The 22,743-nt window shown below is 36.5% G+C and overlaps 3 long non-coding RNA genes across 3 annotated transcripts in view, besides 2 other annotated features; 2 read left to right on the top strand and 1 right to left on the bottom strand.

Annotated features, from left to right (window-relative positions):
• LOC124900231 (uncharacterized) overlaps window positions 1-344 on the top strand; it is a 40,219-nt gene extending 39,875 nt beyond the window's left edge. The window contains exon 2 of the long non-coding RNA XR_007060210.1: window positions 8-344. This is a non-coding gene — a long non-coding RNA (uncharacterized LOC124900231). The remainder of the gene's footprint in view (window positions 1-7) is intronic.
• The window catches only part of MGC4859 (uncharacterized LOC79150), a 330,125-nt gene that overhangs the window by 116,264 nt on the left and 191,118 nt on the right, over window positions 1-22,743 (top strand). The window lies entirely within an intron of this gene.
• Window positions 1-22,743, bottom strand: part of LOC107986766 (uncharacterized) — a 35,048-nt gene that overhangs the window by 11,711 nt on the left and 594 nt on the right. The window contains exons 2-3 of the long non-coding RNA XR_001745090.2: window positions 17,816-17,926; window positions 11,151-11,248 (exon numbers count right to left, since the gene is read on the bottom strand). This is a non-coding gene — a long non-coding RNA (uncharacterized LOC107986766). The remainder of the gene's footprint in view (window positions 1-11,150; window positions 11,249-17,815; window positions 17,927-22,743) is intronic.
• Window positions 17,052-17,252: a silencer, noted in NCBI's record as "peak6384 fragment used in MPRA reporter construct". NCBI's record gives its function as "represses an SCP1 promoter by STARR-seq MPRAs in K562 erythroleukemia cells {active_cell/tissue: K562}" and the evidence as "EXISTENCE:reporter gene assay evidence [ECO:0000049][PMID:32103011]".
• Window positions 17,949-18,990: an enhancer, noted in NCBI's record as "VISTA enhancer hs793". NCBI's record gives its function as "enhancer in: midbrain (mesencephalon)[10/13]" and the evidence as "EXISTENCE:transgenic organism evidence [ECO:0001131][PMID:17130149]".

The following is a 22,743-nucleotide window of genomic DNA, read 5'->3' as shown; positions in this document are numbered from 1 at the left end:
CTTTCAGGTGGAGACCAATTCAAAGCCACACATTTTATGCTGTGATAATACTTTTCCAGTGTCAAAAAGAAAGGAAGAAAATTAACATTGACTTCAATTTTACTTATATTCTTATTTAACAACCTCTTGAGGCAGATACTATCTTCACTTTATGAGGAAGTATGAACCTGCTAAGGTCACACAAATCATAAATGGTAGAGCGTGGTTAGAATTGAGGTCATCTGACTCTAAGGGAGTGATCATTTCTCCAAGTCACAGCACACAGTTCCCAGATATGGACAAACATTCATCCAAAGGAACATCAGAAAATTTTATTTGGTCAGAAATAAATTGCTAAAGCTTACTTTCTTGGTGATTGTCCTGGAGAAATAGCATCAACCATCTTAAGTGAATTTGCACCTTGGCAAGTGTATGAAAATATGTGTATCTATGTGTGGGAAGAGAGAACAGCATTGTTACCGACATACTTCGATGCTAATAAACATTTGGGCCACACCTCCCATTGTTCCTGCCCATGATGGCCCTTGGCAGGACTGGATCTGCCTTTCTGTGGTCTGAAAATAGCTCTGAAAATGTCACGATCTGGTGTTTTCCCCTCAGGTGGAGGCAGCCTGATCTACATAGGTAAATGAAGTGGAAGATTAAGTAATTATTTTCAGAATTTGATTAATGTGGAAAATCAACATGAAAAATTTTAGCATCTCGAGCTATTTTTTCCCTCAATTGTGCACGTTTAAACCTTAATTAAGTAAATATTTCCTTAGTCTTTTCTGTGATTTTAACACCAGGATTGAAGAGGACAGCATACAAGCAATTCTAAAAGGGGTTTTAAAAACTCCTGGAACAAAAGATGTAAGTGTGGGCCATACAACCATAGTGGTCTTCAGCCTGAGACAGTGAGGGTCAAGGAACACAGGCATTGGTCCCAAGGCCACACTATCATGTCTTCTGGCTCTCAGCCCCACTCTCCATCAGTGTTCCACTGCACCTGTTTACACAGCCGACTGCTCCATCTTTCAGACTGTGTGGAGTCACAGCCTTGTCTCTAGGACTGCTCAGCTTCTAAAAGGGCCATCCTTATTCAAAAAGCCTTGTACTCTCAAAGACTTTGTACTTTGCCCCTCAAGTGTAAATCCTTCACAGCAGCTAAGGAATAACTTTACTATTATAAATTAATAATAATAATTCAATAATTATCTGTGAAAATTTGTAATAATTTATATTGTTTTGAAGAGTTTAAGCTATATTCCTCCCTGTGCCTTCCCCTCTTGGTTGATGCCCTGGCTACCACTTCCTTGGGAGCCTCCATTCTCCGCTGTATCCTTTAGTTACTGAATGGGGCTCAGTCTAGGGTAGGAAGAGGGCGATACCCACAGGTCATTGTTTTGATCTTAGATTCTTGCCAGAGAATGAAACTCTTGGATCAAATCATCAGATGTCAGAGATGGAGCTGGTGGAGGAGATAGGCAAAGGAGGGGAGTTAAATGCAATAAAAAGGAGAATGTGTGCATATATGTGTGCCCACAAGTAATAACTGCTAATTTTATTCAATTTTGCAATCTAGGAGTACGGTAGTAGCCAGTAGCCTCAAGCCTCTTCCTTGTAGCCTTGTTTTTTTTTGGCCATGTATCTCTAAAACTAATTTTTAAAAAAGTTACCCTTTACACATTTTAGATCTTCATATTTTATAATAAATTGAAAAAAATTGAAAATAATGAGAAAGTATGTTAAGTTCAGTATGGTCTTCTCTCAGTATCCATCAGGGATTGGTTCCAGGACCCCCTTGGATACCAAAATCCACAGCTGCTCAAGTCCCTTATATGAAATGGTGTTGTATTTGCATATGACTTTTGCATATTCTCCTGTATATTTTAAGTCATCTCTAGACCACATGTAATATCTAAAACAATGTAAATACTATGTAAATAGTTGCTATACTATATTTTTTATTTGTATTATTTTTATTGCCATATTGTTATTTTTTATTTTTAATATTTTGATCCACAATTGGTTGGGTCCGTGGATATGAAGTCACAGATACAGAGGGCTGACAGTATATTATAAATACTGACAGCAAGAGGTAAAATTTTCCATTATTGTTTTACATGTATTCAAAGAAATACCAAAAAAATGCATAAGTAGTTTGATAACCATCATCTGTCTAAAATATTTATATATGTGGATTTATGTATATATGTGTACGTATACATATATGTAAAATCTAATGTAATAATTGAAACATTTACATTATTCTTTATTTTCCCTCAAATTTATACTCCCATTCCACTTTCTGCAAAAATTTTTGTCCCAATGTAATGTAATTTTATGTTTGCAGGATTTTTATTGATCACCCTATCATACTCCTGTACAACAAAAATTATTTATAAATTAATTTTTTATATAACCAAAGGCTTTAAGTATTAATCTTTTCTATTGAGTTATATTATAAATATTATCATATGATTGATCAAAATGATATAAACGATTACAAATTTTTGCAGATAATTATTGAATTATTATTATTAATTTATAATAGTAAGGTTGTTTCTTAGCAGCTGTGGAAGATTTACACTTTAGGGGGCAATGACCATGAGAGGGCTGTTTTGTAACATGGAAGGCTGGCGAATGGGAGAGGGAGAGAGGAAGGAGAACTTGCACCTCAGTGACTCTACAGGCAGATAAAGTTTCAGACAGAATATATACAGGAATTGAGGACCTTGAAATTATTTTTTAAAAATTCTGACTTTTTCAAAGTAATGTACCATAGTTTGAAGAGCCCTGCTGTAAGCTGTAGTTCTTGTGTTAGTTTTTCTTCTTTCTCTACACTGCAAGCAAAGGAGTTCCATTTGAGTCTCTTCCCAACCATCAGTGATAGAAACAATGTTCTTCTCTTGACTACATAATGGCTGAGAGAGCTTCTGTTTTTCCCCACAGTAGTTTACTGTCCATTCCTCATAGGTTTCCCAAATAGAGTCCCCTTAAATACTCTTTCCTCCCTCAGGGCTTCTGCATGTAATCCATGACTGTGAATTCACTAAGGTTACAAATATTAACATTTTTGCTATAAGACATTCTGAAAGATACTCCAAAATTAAGTCAATGTAACCAGGTCCTCAAAAAGCTTACAATGTAGTAGAAAAAATAAGATATATACACAAATCACTAGGCAGAGATGGGAAGCTAAGGTATTATAGATGGGTGGATGGGGAGGGGGCGGATGACAAGTGGAGATGGCCCAGAGCATCAAAGCACAAGGTGTCACCAGAAAATGGGAGTTGTCCAATCTGCCTGGAGCACAGACCAAGCTTAAGAACAGGATTTCTGTATCTGCAGTTTGAAGTGTATCTGTAGAACAAATGTTAGAAAGTGTTTTTGAAAAAGAACTAGTGACTATGTTAGTTTTGTTTGAATGTGTCAGTTTTGAAGTAAGTAAAGAAAATGCTAATATGCTAGATTTTAAAAAATCAGACTCCTTCATTATAGAATTTATTAATTCCCACGAGAGTTTCATACATTAGGGAAAGCCAGGAGAGATGGTAACACAAAATTATTTCCACCTCATTTTTTTTTCTTTTTTGAAGGATTTCTAGTCAAACAAGAGGCTGAGGAAGAGGCTTAGAAAGAGCAGTTTCAGAAATAGTTAGATGTAAGGAAGCAAAGATATTCTGGAGTCAGGTTGCTAAAGCTGTAATGTGTGGAATTGCTTTGATGGCTCTGGCAAGATTGCTCACAAGCAGAGTTGAGCTGTAATATGGGTAACCTGGTGGTCTGTTTGAGGTGAGGGCTGAACTAGCAGGGGGTACATAGGAAAAAAAAACCAAGGCAAGAAGTATTAAAAAATTGCACAAGGAAAAAGTGGAAATATGTATCTACAGTTGGGTAGTTTAAGTATAGTTGAAGTGGGAACAGAGAGAAATGTATACGTATGTGCACACACACACACACACACACACACAACCATTTGTAAAAGTTGAAACGTTTAGTTAACTTGATGTTGAGGCTTCTTTTTTTTCCAATTTACTTTTATTTTTGTGATGTTAAATCAGAAGTTTAACTTTCATCTCCTTCTGAGTTTATATTCAAATGAAACAAAACTTCTTATCTAAAAACACAAAACATCTGGACAAAAGAACTGTTTAATTTTTTTGATGTTTTCAATGTTGGTATTTTTTCCAAGAAGTAGAGAAATATCTCTGGATGGTTATCTAAAATGTATAATTTTTGAACTGATATGGTATATAGGGCAGTGTCATAGTTTTAATGTTGAAAAAGCATTCTTTTAAATTATAGCAAATTATAAAGTATTTATATATATAATATGGCAATATCACTTCAGGAATTCAGAATTTTACCAACTAAAATAAGAAAAAAAGTCAATTTAAATAAAACATTTAATTATTTAGGTGGTTTACCCTATCTCCCATTTATTTAGTCTGGTTGCTTTGGTATATCTTTAGATTGGATAAGATTTATTCTCTTCTTGTTATAGGACATCTACTCTAGCATTTTAGATATACATTCTTTAGCACATTGTTTATGTAATGGTTTAGCTAAAAATTATGGCTTTATCCCTATTAATATAAATCAGATTGATTAATCTAATTAGCCCAATCAAATATAAAAATGCAACCCTTAATTGGTTCTTATTGTAAATGACCCACAAACAAAAGTTTCAACCACCTTCAGAATAAGAAATAAAACACTTAAGCAAGTATAGTAACACTTAATACAGCACAGTAATTTGACAGCTAATGATTTGACCAATTGTATTAAGACTTGATATGACATTTTGATAGAAAACAGTGTAGCCTGTTTAATTATTGAGTAATGCATACCAAGGACTCTTAACAATGAACATTTATTTTCCTGTGATAAACTGACATTAAGTAAGAAATAGCGCAATGCTAAAATAAATTATCTTAAAATAAAATTCAGATCAATAATAATCATAACAATAATACATAATAATGGCCCCGATTTATGAGTATTTACTATGTGTCAGTAGCTTCAGATACAATAGCTTAATCCTCAAATAGTTTTGCCTGCTGGAAATTATCACCCGATTTACAGGTGGCAAAATGGGCTTAAATAATTTAAATGAATCACATAAGTCCCACAGTAGGTAGCCTTTCTAATATTCTGTGCTGCTCCCACACACTACAACTCATCATTGGTCTTGAGCTTAGGTATTATGTAAACTCTGACATAAGGTTAATAGATTGTGCTTTTATTTCAGCTCAAATTTTTCGTAAGAGATCATGAAAGTTTTTTTTACATTGTGTCCTTGTGTTTTTCAGTATTTTGTGTTTCATAAAAATATAATTGATTCAATCATGTGTGGGCTTAGCAGAAATCAGCATTTCTTAGATTGGAGAAGGAAATGATCTCCTTGATTTGGTTGACAAAGTTTAAATGTTTGACACATGGAGTGGGTTGTATACATGTATGTTTGATCTATGTATCTATTATCTGTGCAAAAAATAATTCTGGTTTTAGATTTCAAGGGTTTTTACAATTGCATAATTTCATAATTTCTGAGCAGAGTCAAATCACTTTGGTGCAAAAAAGCCCAATATAAGGTAAGAAAAATAAAAGCTTCAACTAATTGTGCTTAGAAAAGTGTGTAGGCACTTACTGGCTGATTGCCAAGAATTATATTCTGCAGATTCTTTTTAAAACTGAAATACACAAAGTTTGGACATATGCTACAAATTCTGAACATAGATAATATAAAAATACCTACTCAGTTTCTTGAGATTGATTATAATCTGCTCTAGGGGAAAAGGAAAAAAAAAGAAAAATCTTTGCTTCATCTGGTGTTTGAATAGGGGAGATAGGTTTATTTTTTATGACCAGTCTTGCCCTTCAGCCAAAGCTTATACATTTTTTTGCTTAAGATTAGCCTTGTTCCTAGACTTCTGGTAAGTAGCATCTTGTTATTGGGACTGATTTCCCCCCAAATGATGTATTTTTTGAAAGGCTTGTGTTCAAACTATAGGTATAATTACCATGTAAGAAACCCTAAAATGACAAGAAGTTCACAGAAGTTAAGGAGGTAGCACACAAGCTGAGAAATGTAGCTATTTCTTAGGGCAATAGGTCCTTTTGAGAAATGTTACTTGGTGATTTGGAATTTGCACATTGTGGAGTTACACATGTGCTTTACCATATTAAGCTTTCTCTAGCATTTGGAGCTTTCCCTACATAAAGCTTGGGGCTCTTATTTGCATTCTCCCCACTGCCAAATGGCTGCCTAGGGCTCCAATACACATCTTCCTCTATTTCAGTGATCTGTGGGATGGCGCTAGAGGCCTTAGAGGTCATTTGAAAGGACCTAAATACTATGTGGGAAAAAAGCAATTAGTCTGCTCATTTATTGATCTTAGGAGCCTAGGAAATGGAACTCAGGACTACTTGTCTTCACTTGGGGAAGAAATTTACCAAGTAGAAGAGGCAGTTGCTTAAGGGAGGGGCAAGTACCTACTATGTTTCAGGCATTGTTATACACTTTTTATATTAAATTTCCCTAACAGATATATGAAGAAATATCATTATCTACATTGATGTCTGTAGCTTTGATTTCTCCCCTGTGCTCTATGTCCACATACCCAACTGCCTAATGGATATTTATATTTGAATATCTTACAGGCATCCCAAATTAACAAGTCCAGATCTGACCCCACTCACCTCAGCCCCCTCACACACAACACAATCTATCTCTGACTCCTGCCAGTCATAACTTCTAAATGTTGCTCGATTTCTGTTCGTTTCCTCTGCTACCACTCTATTTTGAATGAATGTTGTTCTCAGTGGGACTGCTGCAATGGTTTCCCTGCATTTCTACCTACACTTCTCCCTTTTGAATCCACTCTTTTCACTATAGCCAGAGTAATCAGCCAAAGCTCTCAAAACACTTTATTGCCTAAATGACTAGTGGTTTCCCATTGCCCTGAGGATGGAAGTGAAAATACTAAACATATGCAAAGGCCCCACCTCCTTCTCCAGTCTCCCTACCACTCCCTCCTTCTCTGCACTTCCATTCCACCCGCCTTCTTAGTTCTCTGAAAAAGCAGAGATTCTTCCTGTTCTAGGGCCATTATCCCATTTGTTTCTTCTCTCAGGCCTCTCTTCCCCAGTATACATAGTTAATTTACTACCTATCGTTTCAAACTTATTTCAGATATCATTTCCTCCAGGAGCTTTTTCTAACTCTAGATAAGAGAGGTCAAGATTCCCTGTTAAATGGTTTTTTTCAGAGTTGCCACAATGATAATTAAACATGGTATTAATACAAATTAATATTTGTGTAATTAGCTATCTAATATTTGTTTTCCTAGCTACAGAGTAAGACCCAGGAGGGCAGGGGAAAAACGTTTTACACATACTGTATCGCCAGAGCTTTTCACAGTACTTTGCCAAAGAGGTTGCTAGGTGAATATTTTTTGAATGAATGAATAAATGAATGAGTAGATAGGTATTTTCCAGTGAAGAAATTTAAGGTTGGATGGGTAAGTGATAGAGTGAGAATGTGAGCTCAGGATGAATTCACCCTATAATTTGTGTTCTTTCTGCTTAAAATTTTCCAGTCAAAATCTTACAATTCACATTTATGTTATTTTTACCAATACTATTTCCATAATGAGTTTTTAAATAATATTATATATTTTACACGAGTGTTATGGGGCCAAAATACTAGAGACAAATATTACACTAGTGTTCTTTCCCTATTGTAGAATTTTCCATAATATTAAGTGATTTTTTTTTGTCACTTGGATTGTACAAATTTTTTTGAGTGACTTTAAGGTGCTCATTTCTAATGTAATAGAGTTGCCAGTTTGATTTGTCACTAGTATTTCTATCTTCTTTATTAAAAAAGTTTATCAAGTAGTAAGCAGCAAAAATGTAATTAGCAGCAAAAATGTATTAATTCGAAAGTTTATGAGGACTAGACAGCATAAATGGGTAAAGCAGCTTTACAGGACATTGGTAACTGGAAGAGACCACTGTTCTGTCTAAGGTGAGAGCCACCTGCTTGCCTCCCACCAATGGTGACAATGTGGGAATATAAATAGAGCATTGCCAGATTATATTTTGTGTTTTTTTTGTTTTTTCAAGAGAAGACCTCAACTGAATTTTTGTAAGCAATCATTTGTTTTTATCTGTTGAAAATTTATTAGATTAAAACAACAACAACCACTAAAAACTCTATTGGCCAAATAAAATGTATCTGTAGGCCTGTTCCAGCCTCTGGGTTGTCTATTTTCAGCCTTTCATGAAGACCATGTTTGATCTGTATTTTTGTTTAGGTCCTATAGAAGTTATTCTTACAACAATGATACTTGAGTTTTCTCCTGAGCTCCATTCTTTGAATAAGCACTTGTGAAATGTGTTCACATGATTTGGAATGAGGTGTTCTACACCTTTGACCTTTGACTTGTCTTTGTTGTCCTTTCACTTGGAGTTATAACTCAGATGACTGTGGTGTTTTCCTTCTGACTCTTTCAATAAGGAATCATTAACTGACCTATCACCTTCCAAACACCCTACAAAACAAGCAAATGAAATACTGAATTCATTTTGTTATTGAGAAAGGCAAATAAATGTTTTTGAGTATTTTATGGCTGATTTTAAAGACGTTTAGTCTGGTATTCTCAATAAGTAGTTGAAACAGCAGCTAAATCAGCACAAGGGTTGGGGAAGCAGTTCAGCCTATTCATTTCTACATTTCACAAGTAAATGACTATTTTTGGTCCTTTAATGGTAGACACTTCATAATGGGTATGACAAAATTAATTTTTTAAATGCTTGCTAATTGTTTTCAGAAAAAAAGAAACTTCAGATATTTTTGGAATCCTGCCCTAGATTTTTATATGGAAGCTTACTGCATCTTGAATGTGCACACCATATTAAATATTATTGAATTGTATACATAAATTAATTAAACAGTTGGGAAATTGAATTTCACAATGGATCACTGACTTTAAACTACAGAATTCTACCTTGGGCTAAATTAAAAAGTAACCACTTGGTGTTTTGACGTCTCAGTAGCAGCAATCTCTGCAAAGTCTTGTTCAGAAGAATGAAAACTAGAGAAGTTATTTTGTGAAAATAATGTTTTGGGAATTAATATTTTTAGATAATGAATGTGTAGATTTTTTAACAGCAATTAGTTAACTAAGAACCTTCTTGGTTATCTAAGTTTGTTTTTGCTTTCACTTCTTTAAAAGCTACTTCAGAGGATGTTTGTAATTATTTCTGTGACTACCCTAAAAACATTAAAAGCGAAGAAAAGAAAAACAAAGGAGGTGTGAAGTTTTACTATTAAATTGATTTTTCTCTTAATCCAGTCTGATTATGACCAAACATAGATCTGTTAGTGGGGATATGAGGAGTAAGACAAGAGCATAAACAGTTTCAGGAGTGATTCAACTATTTCTGCTGCAATGATCCTATTTTCTATGACCTCCTGCAGCCCAAAGTTCTCTATGCTGAATATCGACATAAAGAACTCTTTTTTTTTTTTTTTTTTTTTTTTTTTTGAGACGGAGTCTCGTTCTGTCGCCCAGGCGGGAGTGCTGTGGCGCGATCTCCGCTCACTGCAAGCTCCGCCTTCCGGGTTCACGCCATTCTCCTGCCTCAGCCTCCCGAGTAGCTGGGACTACAGGCGCCCGCCACTGCGCCCGGCTAATTTTTTGTATTTTTAGTAGAGACGGGGTTTCACCGTGGTCTCGATCTCCTGACCTCGTGATCCGCCCGCCTCGGCCTCCCAAAGTGCTGGGATTACAGGCGTGAGCCACCGCGCCCGGCCGACATAAAGAACTCTTAGCAGCTGTGTTGCAGCCAGAGTTGTTCAGTGGCAGTTGAATAACTCTCCTCCTTGTCTGTAAAGGTGCATGGCGTCACCTGCAAAGTGTAGAAAGGGGTATTTGCTTCATTACAATTTTATAGAAGTAATAAAACAAAAAATAATTGAAGACATTGTTCTTAACTTGCTTTCCTAAATTACCAGGATCAGGAAAGACTTGTCCAATTGTTTCATTTCTCTTTAGAGAAATTTCAACAGTGTTTAAATTCCCTGAAACATTAAAATACAAATTTGTGAATCTGAAAAGTGCAGTACTCAAAGTTTTTCTTATTAGATCATTGACAGTTTTTCCAAATATATTTATATATTTTAGTGGAAGCCAAAGTCAAGATTGAGTGGTGATAGAAGGGTATACATAATGTAGGAAGCTGGAACTAATAGCCAGAGCGAATTCTAAGGTCCCTGTGTAAGATACAGTGGGGTCAGCCACCATTGGGAAAATATCAAGGCTTTGCAAACAGTCAAAATTCATAGTAAATACTGGGTTAGAAGCAACAAAATGGTGAGAAGTAGGAGCCTGGAAGAACTCTTTCTAAGAAAAAAATAGTTAGCCACTCTAATAGTTAAAAACCCATGATAGGCTGGGAGTGGTGGCTCATGTCTGTAATCCCAGCAGTTTGGGAGGCCGAGGCAGGCAGAACACTTAAGGCCAGGAGTTCGAGACCAGTCTGGCCAACATGGAGAAACTGGTCTCTACAAAAAATACAAAAATTAGTCAGGCATGGTGGCTCATGCCTGTAATCCCAGCTACACACAAGGCTGAGGCACGAGAATAGTTTGAACCCAGGAGGCAGAGGTTGCAGTGAGCCAAGATCACACCATTCTGCACTCCAACTTGGGCAACAGAGCGACACTCTGTCTCAAAAAGAAAAACAAAATAAAACCAAAAACCCATGATGATTCTCTAATACCCCAAGACAAAATCTAAATTCCCCCAAAACATTAAAAGCCCCATACAACTTGATCTTGGTCTATTTTACTGACTTCACATTCTGCCACTCTATTTCACCTTTCTCTCCATTTCCATCTACCAACATCACCCATGCAATTCTCAGCCACACTAAGCCACCTGGTGGGTTTTAAGTTTCCTTGTTAACACCCGTGTCTCCATTATTTTATGTGACACACCCCTGAAGACAAGCCCTCAGCCCTGTCCATGTGAGTCATTTCAAGGATATATTTTTAAATATAACTGACGCTAAGCTTTTCCAAGTTATCTAGGCCAAGTCAGTGGGCCATTGGTGCTTTCATGTCACCTTGTTCACACGTCTACTATGTTACTTACCACAGTGGTTCTTCAGTTTATTTACAATTTTGTTTCCTCCAATACTCTGGGAGTGCTGAAATGAATCTAGAAGACAGTAAAATGTCCAGACTTGTGATCTGAAAATTAGGACATAGACCAAAATGACAGGTTCAAGGAAAAGTTTGAATAAAAGACATGAAACCAGAATTAAAAGATGATACCATGGGAAATTCTAGACCTAAATAGAGTTTTGCAAATTCCAGTAGAGATTAATTCCAGCTCCTAGTCTTCCTAAGTCCTGCAGAGGTAATCAAAGACACAAGGTCCCCCAGGGCTAGAGAATATGTGTGGCTAGGCTATAAAGGCTCACACTGACCATCTGTCTAATGTGCAAACTCATAATGACACAGATCTTCAAACCCAAAACCCAAGAGAAATCAGATTAACATTTTAAATAATAGAAGCTGACCTACCACTCTGTTTAGGCAGTAAAGGTTTATTTGTATAAACCTTCAAAAAGGTTAAGTAAACCTCTGCCTTCTTCCCCAATTTCTTCTCTATCAGATAGAAGGCTAAATACGGGGGATAAATATCTATTTTATTTAATTTGTTTTCTTTTTTTAAATAGGAGAAAAAGCATACAATTAGTAATAATCATTATTATTATTATTTTATATTAGATTCAAGGGATACATGTGTGCAGGTTTGTTACATAGGTATATTGGGTAATGCTGGGGTTTGGGTTTCTAGTGAACCTATCACCCAAATAGTGAACACAGTAACCAATAGGTAGTTTTCAACCATCACCCCCCTCCACCTTTTGGAGTCCCCAGTGCCTGTTGTCTTTATCTTTATGTCCATGTGTACCCGTTGTTTAGCTCCCACTTATAAGTGAGAACATTTGAAATTTGACTTTCTGTCTCTGCATTCATTCACTTAGGATAATGGCCTCCAGCTGCATCCATGTTGCTCCAAACGACATGATTTCACTCTTTTCTACCTCTGTGTAGCATTCCAATTAGAATCTGTTTTCTAGTTTTTTGGTGAGTGATGATAAAAGGACATTTTGCATGAACTTATTTTATGGTTATAGGAAGCTAAGTGAGGGGCATGCTACCAGGAATAACAGAATTGGGAGTGTCCATCTCTGTAAAGCTATGCATTTTTTTCAGTCATCTTCCTCTGTGGAAGTAGGAGAGTTTCAAGATTCCTATGAAGATAGGAAGGGACATTTATAGCCTCAATCTGGACCCCTGGTAGGAGTAAAGTTCAGTCCTCTGGGTAGAAGGTTTCCAAAGTTGATATTGTGTGAGTCTATCAGTAAAAAATTTCTGTGCATGGCTCCTGCTATTCATTTATTTATGTATAAATTATATGGCTGAGCTACTTCATGAATGTGCAGTGTATGTAAAAATAGAAAGTAAAAAGATAATAAAATTGAACTGAGCCATCTTTTAGAAGTCACTTTTTTAAAAAAAATCAGAATATAGTTGATTATAGAGTGGATATAAGCCCATCGCTCAAGTAGTCCTTATAACACTGGATGTTTTAGGCTGACATTTTGGCAGATGTGATTGGCATACTTTTGGTCTTGAACATGACTGATGGAGAGCTTGCACTGGGAGTAGGGGTGTGGGCCCATCTCTTACTGTCCACTTGGAATTGTAGCATTCTTAATTTGAGGATGATTGTATTAGTTTTTAAAATCCATATGTCCATATTATGATAGTTGACTATTTTATACTACAGAATCAATTAATGTAACAGAGTATGTAAACTGCAACTTGTCATAGTATGCTAAAAAGGAATGAAAAAGGGAAGGTAATACTACCACCCCTTCACATGATAGAACTCCTATGATTTCTTGAGGATACCTCACTGATATGGTTTGGCTATGTCCCCTCCCAAATCTCAACTTGAATTGTATCTCCCAGAATTCCCACTTGATGTGGGAGGGACCCAGGGGTAGGTAATTGAATCATGGGGGTTGGTCTTTTCTGTGCCATTCTCGTGATAGTAAATAAGTCTCATGAGATCTGGTGAGCTTATCAGGGGTTTCTGTTTTTGCTTCCTCCTCATTTTTCTCTTTCCGCTGCATGTAAGAAGTGGCTTTTGCTTCCCACCATGATTCTGAGGCCTCCGCAGCCATGTGGAACTTTAAATCCAACTAAACCTCTTTTTCTTCCCAATCTGATGTATGTCTTTATCAGCAGCATGAAAATGCACTAATACAATAAATTGGTACCAGTAGAGTGGGGCATTGCTGAAAAGATGCCCGAAAATGTGGAAGCAACTTTGGAACTGGGTATCAGGCAGAGGTTGGAACATGTTGGAGGGCTCAGAAGAAGACAGGAATGTAGGAAAGTATAGAACCTCTTAGAGACTTGTTAAATAGCTTTGACCAAAATGCTGACAGTGATATGAACAATAAAGTCCAGGCTGAGGTGGTCTCAGATGGAGATGAGGAACTTGGGAACTGGAGCAAAGGTGATTCTTGCTATGTTTTAGCAAAGAGACTGGCAGCATTTTGCCTCTGCCCTAGAGATTTGTGGATCTTTGAAATTGGTAGAGATGATTTAGGGTATTGGGTAGAAGAAATTTCTAAGCAGCAAAGCATTTAAAAGATGACTTGGGTGCTGTTAAAAGTATTCTATTTAAAAAGAGAAACAGAGAAGCATAAAAGTTCAGAACATTTGTAGCCTGACAATGCAGTAGAAAATAAAAACCCATTTTTCTGAGGAGAAATTCAAGCTGGCTGAAGAAATATGCATTAGTAACAAGGACCCAAAGGTTAATTCCCAAGACAATGGGGAAAATGTCTCCAGGGTATGTCATGGGTCTTCATGGCAGCGCCTCCCACCACAGACCCAGAAGCCTACGAGGAAAAAGTAGTTTTGTGGGCTGGGCCCAGGGTCCCCGTGCTGTGTGCAGCCTAGGGACTTGGTGCCCTATGTCCCAGTTGCTGTAGCCATGACTGAAAGGGGCCAACATAGAGCTTGGGCTGTGGCTTCAGAGGGTGGAAGCCCCAAGCCTTGGCATCTTACACATGGTGTTGAGCCTGTGGGTGCACAGAAGTCAAGAATTGAGGTTTGGGAACCTCCGCCTAGATTTTTAGAAGACGTATGAAACACCTGGATCCCCAGGCAAAATTTTGCTGCAGGGGCGGGGCCATAATTGAGAACCTCTGCTAGGACAATGTGGAAGTGAAATGTGGGGTCGGAGCCCCACACTGAGTCCCTACTGGGGCACCACCTAGTGGAGCTGTGAGAAGAGGGCCACCTTCCTCCAGACCCCAGAATGGTAGATCCACTGACGGCTTGCACTGTGTGCCTGGAAAAGCCACAGACACCCAACGCCAGCCCATGAAAGCAGCTGGGAGGGAGGCTGTACCCTGTAAAGCCACAGGGGAGGAGCTGACCAAAACCGTGGGAACCTACCTTTTGAATCAGTGTGACCTGGTTGTCAGACCTGGAGTCAAAGGAGATCATTTTGGAGCTTTAGAATTTGACTGCCCCGCTGGACTTCAGACTTTCATGCGCCCTGCCATCCCTTTGTTTGGGCTAATTTCTCTCATTTGGAACAGGTGTATTTACCCCCCTTGTATCTAGGAAGTAACTAGCTTGCTTTTGATTTTACAGGCTTATAGGCAGAAGGGTCTTGTCTTGTCTCAGATGAAACTTTGGACTATGGACTTTTCGGTTAATGCTGAAATAAGACTTTGGGGGACTGTTGGGAAGGCATGATTGGTTTTGAAATGTGAGGACATGAGATTTGGAGGGGCCAGGGGCAGAATGATATGGTTTAGCTGTATCCCCACCCAGATCTCAACTTGAATTGTATCTCCCAGAATTCCCACGTGTTGTGGGAGGGACCCAGGAGGAGGTAATTGAATTATGGGGGTAGGTCTTTCCCTTGCTGTTCTGGTGATGGTAAATAAGTCTCATGAGATCTGATGGCTTTATCAGGGGTTTCTACTTTTGCTTCCTCATTTTTCTCTCGCCTCTGCCATGTAAGAAGTGGCTTTCGCCTCCCACCATGATTCTGAGGCCTCCCCAGCCATGTGGAACTTTAGGTCCAATTAAACCTCTTTTTCCTTCCAGTCTCGGATAAGTCTTTATCAGCAAAGTGAACACAGACTAATACACTCGACCACTACATGGCAGTACTATCCTTTTGATATGTGGACTGAGGGAAGATACCAGTGTCGATCAGTATCTTAAAGGTTTGTGAACTTTAGTTGTTTTGATAAACATAAACACATATTGAATTAATAATATTGGCTTACTTGCACCCTAATAACCTAATCCTTTTGGACACATCTTGAGGAATGTGTACCAACTTTGGAGACTACTAGTCAGTATTACAGAGAATCAGAGAAATTGGAGCTATGTTCCTCAATATAATTATTGGCAATTGTTGAAGTTTTGAAAGAAGTAAAACAATGTATTTGTTCCAAAAGAAGGCACAGGAATAAGGGGTAGGTTTTTAAAGTGTATGATTTTCTTCAAAATGTATAAATTTATGTTTATATTCATGGGTTTCAGACCCTACTTTTGAAAAGATGTATAATTTCTTTTGTTAGTGTGCTTCTCTTCAAATACTTGGTTTGGTTATAACCGATTAAACTGGCAGTAAATTGTGACTTATGTTGCAAGTGAAGCAAAAATGAAACTTTGGGGAGTTTTATAGTTTTAAAATATATTTGAAGAACTTGGTTTCTATACACTGCATATACTTGGATTCCAAAATGATACTTATACAAGTTCTCCAGGATTCAGAAAGTCAATGAATATCACTCGGTCTGTGAGAGCAGTTATATCGGCAGTGTCATGCAAGGCACCAGTAGACAACCTGTGAATACTGATGGAATAGAAAGAGTAGATTGTCTTAATGAAAGACCATTTTGTTTAGCAAATTCCTGAAAATCCATGGTAGTCTAGGGAAGAGCTGTAAGTTTAATTTTAGTTTAGGAAATGTTGGTAAATTATAAGAGATGCCTTTAGAATAATTCAGAAAATGTAGGCTAAAAGACAAAAGTATTTTTTCAATTATGAGACAGTAGATATAATCATTAAAATCAAAGAAATGAAAATGAAAACCATATTCTGTGTAGCAAATGTGACATAAGATTAATGCACCCTTTTAGAAAAGCTGAACAAATAGAAAATACATGCACTTTATTTTATATACTAGGTGTGTTTCTTGAAATTTTCAAGTGCATCAAACTGTTAATTGAACTGTTTGAATTGTTCTTTCAATATATCACCATATTTTTACACTTTTAAAATTAGAATTGCTGAAATTGGATGAGAAGTGTGTGTATGGGGTGGAAGAAATGGGTGGAGGTGGGGATTAAAGGGGCAGGAGGAACTGGTGACAGTGGTTTTAGGTGTTTTACCCTTAAGACACCAGCAAGGAAACCCCAGAGCTTCTTGGGGTTACTGAAATGATAAAGCTTAGAGCTCCCTTTGAAAATTAAATAATTTAATTGTTTTTTGCCAGTCTATATGCTCATTCATTAATTCATTCATCTATCCACCATTCATGCATTTATTCAATCATACATTCATTTGGCCAGACTTTATTGTTTGTCGTGTATATTACAGACACTGCATTTGACCCCGGGGAATTACAGTGATTATATAGTGTCCCTGACCTTGAAGTACCTACAGTATTTTGGACAATTGCTGCCAGGTGGGAGCATTTACAGGGCTCTCTTCTGTTTTGTGTTGTTAAAGTGAATTGGGACTCTTTATAATCAGGCTAATTAACTTTTTAGAAATTGGTTGAAGTAGAAGATATCTTTTAAAAGTCAATTATAAAACCGTTTATTGGTAGGTTGGAGTATTGTGTAATGCATCTGTGTAGTTACTTTGTGACTTTGATTACCCACATAGCTGATATTTAATGCATTGTTATCTGTGATGATGTCTTTTTTCCAGTGACCTTCAAACTTAGCCTCAGTGTGTTTATTCAAATTATTCATTAAAATAAATTATATGTTAGCAGAAGTGCAGATAACACCATGATGGTTTGAGGGTTTACTGTGTTTATGTCTGTTACGTCTTTACTAATGTTATTGTGTAAGAGGAAGTTCTGCTTGGCACGACATTTCCGTATTTCAGCCAGAGTTTCTTAAATTTTTCAGTTCTCATAAAATGTAGTTTCAGTCTTTATGTATTATGTATGATTCTTTATGATATCTAATTCCCTCCCCCTTCCACCCTAGGGTGTAACTATAAATAGCCATAACATTTAGCCCTGGCGATTGAACAAGCGTGAGGAAAATTTAGATCCAAATGGGAGTCATTACTTCACATTTCATGATTCAGTGTGCAATCTATGTTATAAAATGGCTCTTTTATTATTATAAATATGTTCCTTTCTGCCTAATTGTGACATCCTCAAGAACAATTATTGCCAATCGAGTTCATGCCACTTTAAAATAAGTAACTCCTATGGTTTGAAATAAGTGAAACAGTAATTATATTGTAGATGGGATATTAAAAAAACTTTAAAGTTCAGCTCAGCCACTATCAATAGTCATGTGGGGCTTTTTATGGATATGTTACTAAAGCTGGTTGATATAAATTCACCTTGCAATTTAAAATTTGAAAAGATGGAAACCATTAATATTTGTATTATAAAGAAATTGGTCAAAGAAAGTTAAAATTATCTTTTGGATAAAAAGCCTTAAATCTTACCTCCAAACGATAGAGCTCCATTGATGCTTACATACTGTCATTGCTTTGAGAAATTTTGAAGTGGATTGGAAACACTGACATATAAAATCTTTACCTCTTGTGCTGGTGAAACTAGTGAAATACAAACAGGGATAACATGAGGATTAAATGAGAAAACACATGAAAATCATGCTGACTTCAGTAAATATTGATGGAATAAATGATTACATGATAAATAATAAGGTAAAGCTTTAACTGTGCTGTGTGAGATTAATTAATAGTGGGTGATCAAGGAAGGGTCTAAATCAGTGATAACTGTAATGACAGGCAAGACTTGGCTCCAACACTTCATTAAACTTCTATTTTTATGGGGATTTCTTCATTTCCACTGGAATGAACAAGTCAGTATGCATGACTTATTCTGCAATGAACTTTGATGAATTTTTCTAAGTACATTAAAAATGAGTGGCACCCTTCTCTTAATCCGAGAAACCCCTTATACCTACACTGATAAACCCTCTGATGCACATGTAAGAAGGCAGGATAATGGGCATGAAGGACAATCATCTATATGTGTATATAAAAAATATATTTTTGCTTGCCAGTAATAACTCTGAACTGCCTACAGCATTCATCGTGCTTCTTAAAAGTCAGGTATTATATTGAATTCAAAAATTCTCTTATGCTGAGCAGGGAAAGGAAAAAAAAAAATCAAACACTTTCTGAATTGGGCCCAAATATCCAAGGTTAATTTTCTGAGAAAGCTGCAGTGGCTAGATAAGGCCATCCCCTGCAAATTAGTTTTGCCTGCCTGGATTACAGCTAAATTTATGCAGCTTTCCTTATCCTTTCGGAAACGCCTCTGAAGTGTTGTAATTAACTGGCACACATAAAGTGAGCACATTTTCTGCTTGGTGGCGGCCATTCCTCATTTCATCTCAGTTCTAACCCACATGGAAAGGTAGTTTCTTATTTTTACTGTTAAAAACACACATGAATGCACTTGTGTATGTGTGTGCACACACACACAAATACACTCTCCAGTACTTTACCAGAAGCCTTTGAAAACAATCATAAAACAGCTTCAGAACAGAGTTTGGAAATTTAAAGGGGCAAAGAATACTGCTGAGAGAGCAGAAAGAAATTTTTTTTGCAGGAAATTGAAATAAAGAGTATAGGCACCCTTTGTGAAGTGGATGAATTTTTTTTTCTTTTACTAGAAAAATTAGGTTTTAACACATTTTCTTTATGTATTTCTTGGTCTAAATGGAAACTCAAAAATCACCAAGAAATGGTGAAAACAAGTATGATGAATGTCTCTTTAGTTTGTATTTTCTAATGTCATTTTAAAATACATCTTTTAATTTCCCCCTTATTTTTTTAAACTTAATAGTTCCATTAAAACTTAATCCTCCACCTCCCCCCACCCCAAAAAGCTCAAAGCAAACCATCATTAGACAACATTCTCAGAGATTTGGCTCTGTCTTCCTATTTGTTGTTACTTTGGCTAAAAATCTTTTTTCTTCTTTTTAAACATAAGGCTGAAGCAGTCAGTGTTTAATGAACTTCAGTGTTAGTCTTTGTTAGAATCATCCCTGGCATCGTATTTGACTTTGGTTATCTCCTGGAAAATACAGTAGATATTACAGTACTCCTTGCTTAACTTCTTCATTAAGGAGTTGTTTTTGTTTTGAAGACAAAACATTGGACTTGCAGCCTACAGAAAGTGATCAAGAATCCCACAATGTCCAGGTTCATGGAGTTCAATGTTGGGAATGACACCAGAGTAGTTACAATCCTTGAGGGGCCAGGAGAGATTTTCTGCCTTCCACCCTGTACTCTGTTCCCAGATTTGCTTTGGCTTCAGTTCCTCATAGAGTTATTATGAGGATTAAGTGTGTTAATACATGTAAAATGTTTAGAACTGTGCCTGGCACACTGCAAGTGTTCAATAAATGTTAGCTGTTATGATTCAATTCTCAGGAGGATGCTGCTCCAATGCTGGCTTCTGGCAGAATCCTTTCTTACTCATTTAAGTAGCAGTTGCCTTCTTCCTGGGCAAGTCCTTATTTTTAGCAGGTGAACTGTATCAGGCTTTCTTTTTTTTTTTTTTCAGTTTTTTTAACTTCTTTCCCTTCCAGGAAGCGGACAACACCACTTCCTGCCCACTCTGGTGACTTTTTCCTCTCAATCTTGCTTTCTTCTTCCCCTGTAAAGTTCAGGGCATCACTTTTCACCCTCTTTTCTGATGTCTGCTGTAGTGCTCTCTAGGAGCTTTTCTTCATTCTTCGTTACCATTCTTATAACCCTTACCCTTTGATTCTCCTTTTTAGAAATGTTTAAATTCCCCTCTCAAGTAACTACCTACAAGAAACAGATACGAAATTCTTTTGTGTAGGGGAAGCACTCAGTGGTGCCTGAAGGAAGATGTGATCTAATTGCGAAGTCATCTAATACAGTTTAGAAAATATTTCCCTTCCTTGATTATTTTATCCCATGGGAAAATTGTCATGCTGAGACTTCTTTACATGAAATAGATTATTCACTTTTCCTACTCTATTATATACTTAAAAGACAATCCACACTTTGCAAAATTCATCAGAGTTATACAGATTGATAGGCTCCTCTACTTACCTTCAAGATGCTTTCCAATTGATGGTGATTGATGGTGACTAGCCTTGAGACTTTCTCAGGAAAGTCAAATACATCTATATTCTTTTGGGGTATGATAGAGTGTGTGTGTGTGTGTGTGTGTGTGTGTGTGTGTGTGTGTGTGTGTGTGTAGAGGGGGTGGGGAAGGTGCTTCATCTTTTGGTGACATCTTAGAAGTGAGGGAGAGAATCAGCCAAAATATTTCCCAATGGGAAATGGACTTCTTTCGGACATCTGAGTTTTGATCCTGGTTCTAGTTTAAGCCATTAATTTTCTAAGTGACTGGAGAGTAAATATAATATAATTATTCTAAGACTGAGGCTAAATAGGATGTTCACTTTGAGGACAGCAAAAATGCCAGTCTCTTCAAGATCTAAGAGGTAGGCATCAAGTTTCTGGGCATAGATCTTTTTACTGAAGTAAGAGTGCTTGAATGATATCTTACTCAAAGGTACTGTCTGGAGGCAGCCTTGGTTGTGAGATGAAGACATTACTCAATTTTTGTTGACTTGATTAAAGCAGCTGGTTCCTGAGACACCTTTGTAATTCTGACCACCAGCATGTGTTGTTAACTTTTAATTAGGAGCCCAGAAGACTTATTTCAACTCCACCTCCTAAGAAGACTTGGGTCTAGGCAGAGCACAACTGCATCACCATATCATGAAGAAACAAGAAACAATGATAGTAACAGAATTTTCTCTTTCCTCCCACCCTTGGCCTTCTTTTAGATTTAAGTGTAAAATTTTGCTTAAATGGTTATTTAATGTTTTCAATTGATAATATGTTATATTTATATATTTTAGATAGATGTCTAATGTTTGATTATAAAATTATACATGTTCATTGTTTAAAATATGAAAAATGAAGGAATTTTTAAAAATTTATAATTTTACATTTTAAAAATGATGCTTGATATTCTTTGCTGTACTTACTCTTTTTTGTTGTTGTTAAGCTTGCGTTTCTCATGATGTACTTACTCTTATCACTTCAAATCTTCAGTGTGTGGTTTAGCACTTAAGTTATGTTATAGCTAAAATTGTTACATGGGCCTATCAAAAATATTTTACTACATGTGTTTAATAGTATTACACAGAGACCCCATGCCAGATCTTACTTTATGTATTCTCATCCCAAACTTCTAAAGCTAATAAAAGAGGGCTTTTAAATGCAACCAGTATGCCTAGACGGTCTTACTTTTATTGAGTGTATTACCATAGTAGAATGACTACCCAAGTTGATCAATAGCAAGATTTAAGCATAAAATCTTCAACTAGTGATCACCAACAAATATTAAGGAATACGTAATTTCTCTACCCATGTAAGAGGTAGAACTCTACTGTTTCCTCCTGAAATTTTATTAAATCCTGAGGTAGGAATGAGGGGAGGAATACCTAGCGAAAAAGAAAAAATATCCCCAGTGATGTATCTAGAATGCTATATAACCTCCTGACCTGAATCAGGCTTTGAGCTGAGCAGAGAAAAAATATATTTTAATCCAATAGCTCTCATCTTCTTTAAGTGTCTCTCTGTAATGTTTGCTTCAAAGAACAGTCATTCCTTTTTTTATACTTAAAAATATAGATTAAACTAATTTCCTAGAATTATGCTGCAAGCTTTCATGTCAAGTAAATCCTTACTCTCAATCTTAGTATTAAAATACATTTTCTATTTTAATTCATATATTTATATTTTAATATAGGAACAAATATTTATAATATTTGTGGTCATTTGTGGATGGACTTGAGTGTTGCTGTCAGATTTTCTTGTTTTTAGGTTCTGATGGAACTAAAACTCTCTCTGTTCGCTGCAAATTCAGTGAAAATTCCCAGCAGAGGTCATAGTCTGCACAGACTGGAAATACACTTAAAACATCTAACAGGTTTAGGCAGTTTTTTGAGGTGTATTAATTTAAATAAAACCAGGACTGATCAAAACTAGAAAGCAAAGATCTATATTCTAAAAACCTAAAGAAAGAAAAAAAGTCAATTATTTATAGAACTAGCACAGGATTAATTGGCCTTTAACAATAGCAATGACTACAGGAATATTACCGTCTGTGGAAAAGGTTGAGAATTCATTTTTATGTTCTTTCGAATTAAGAACAACTTACCTCAGTCTAGAGGCTTAGAAAAATAATGACGCTTAAAAAAAGGCATTCCAAAGCCTGTTCATTTTGAACTTGTTCTTCACACAATTGCATGTATGAGACTGTCTTTCCATGTCCCTCTTTCTTCTGGCTAGAAATGTGAGGGCTAGGTGATTTTCAGGTCTTTTTATTGGCATGAGTAATTTTTTTT

The sequence above is a fragment of the Homo sapiens genome, chromosome 7, assembly GCF_000001405.40.
Source record: "Homo sapiens chromosome 7, GRCh38.p14 Primary Assembly".
Classification (NCBI taxonomy): Eukaryota; Metazoa; Chordata; class Mammalia; order Primates; family Hominidae; genus Homo; species Homo sapiens.
This window is presented reverse-complemented; position numbering and strand designations above follow the sequence as displayed.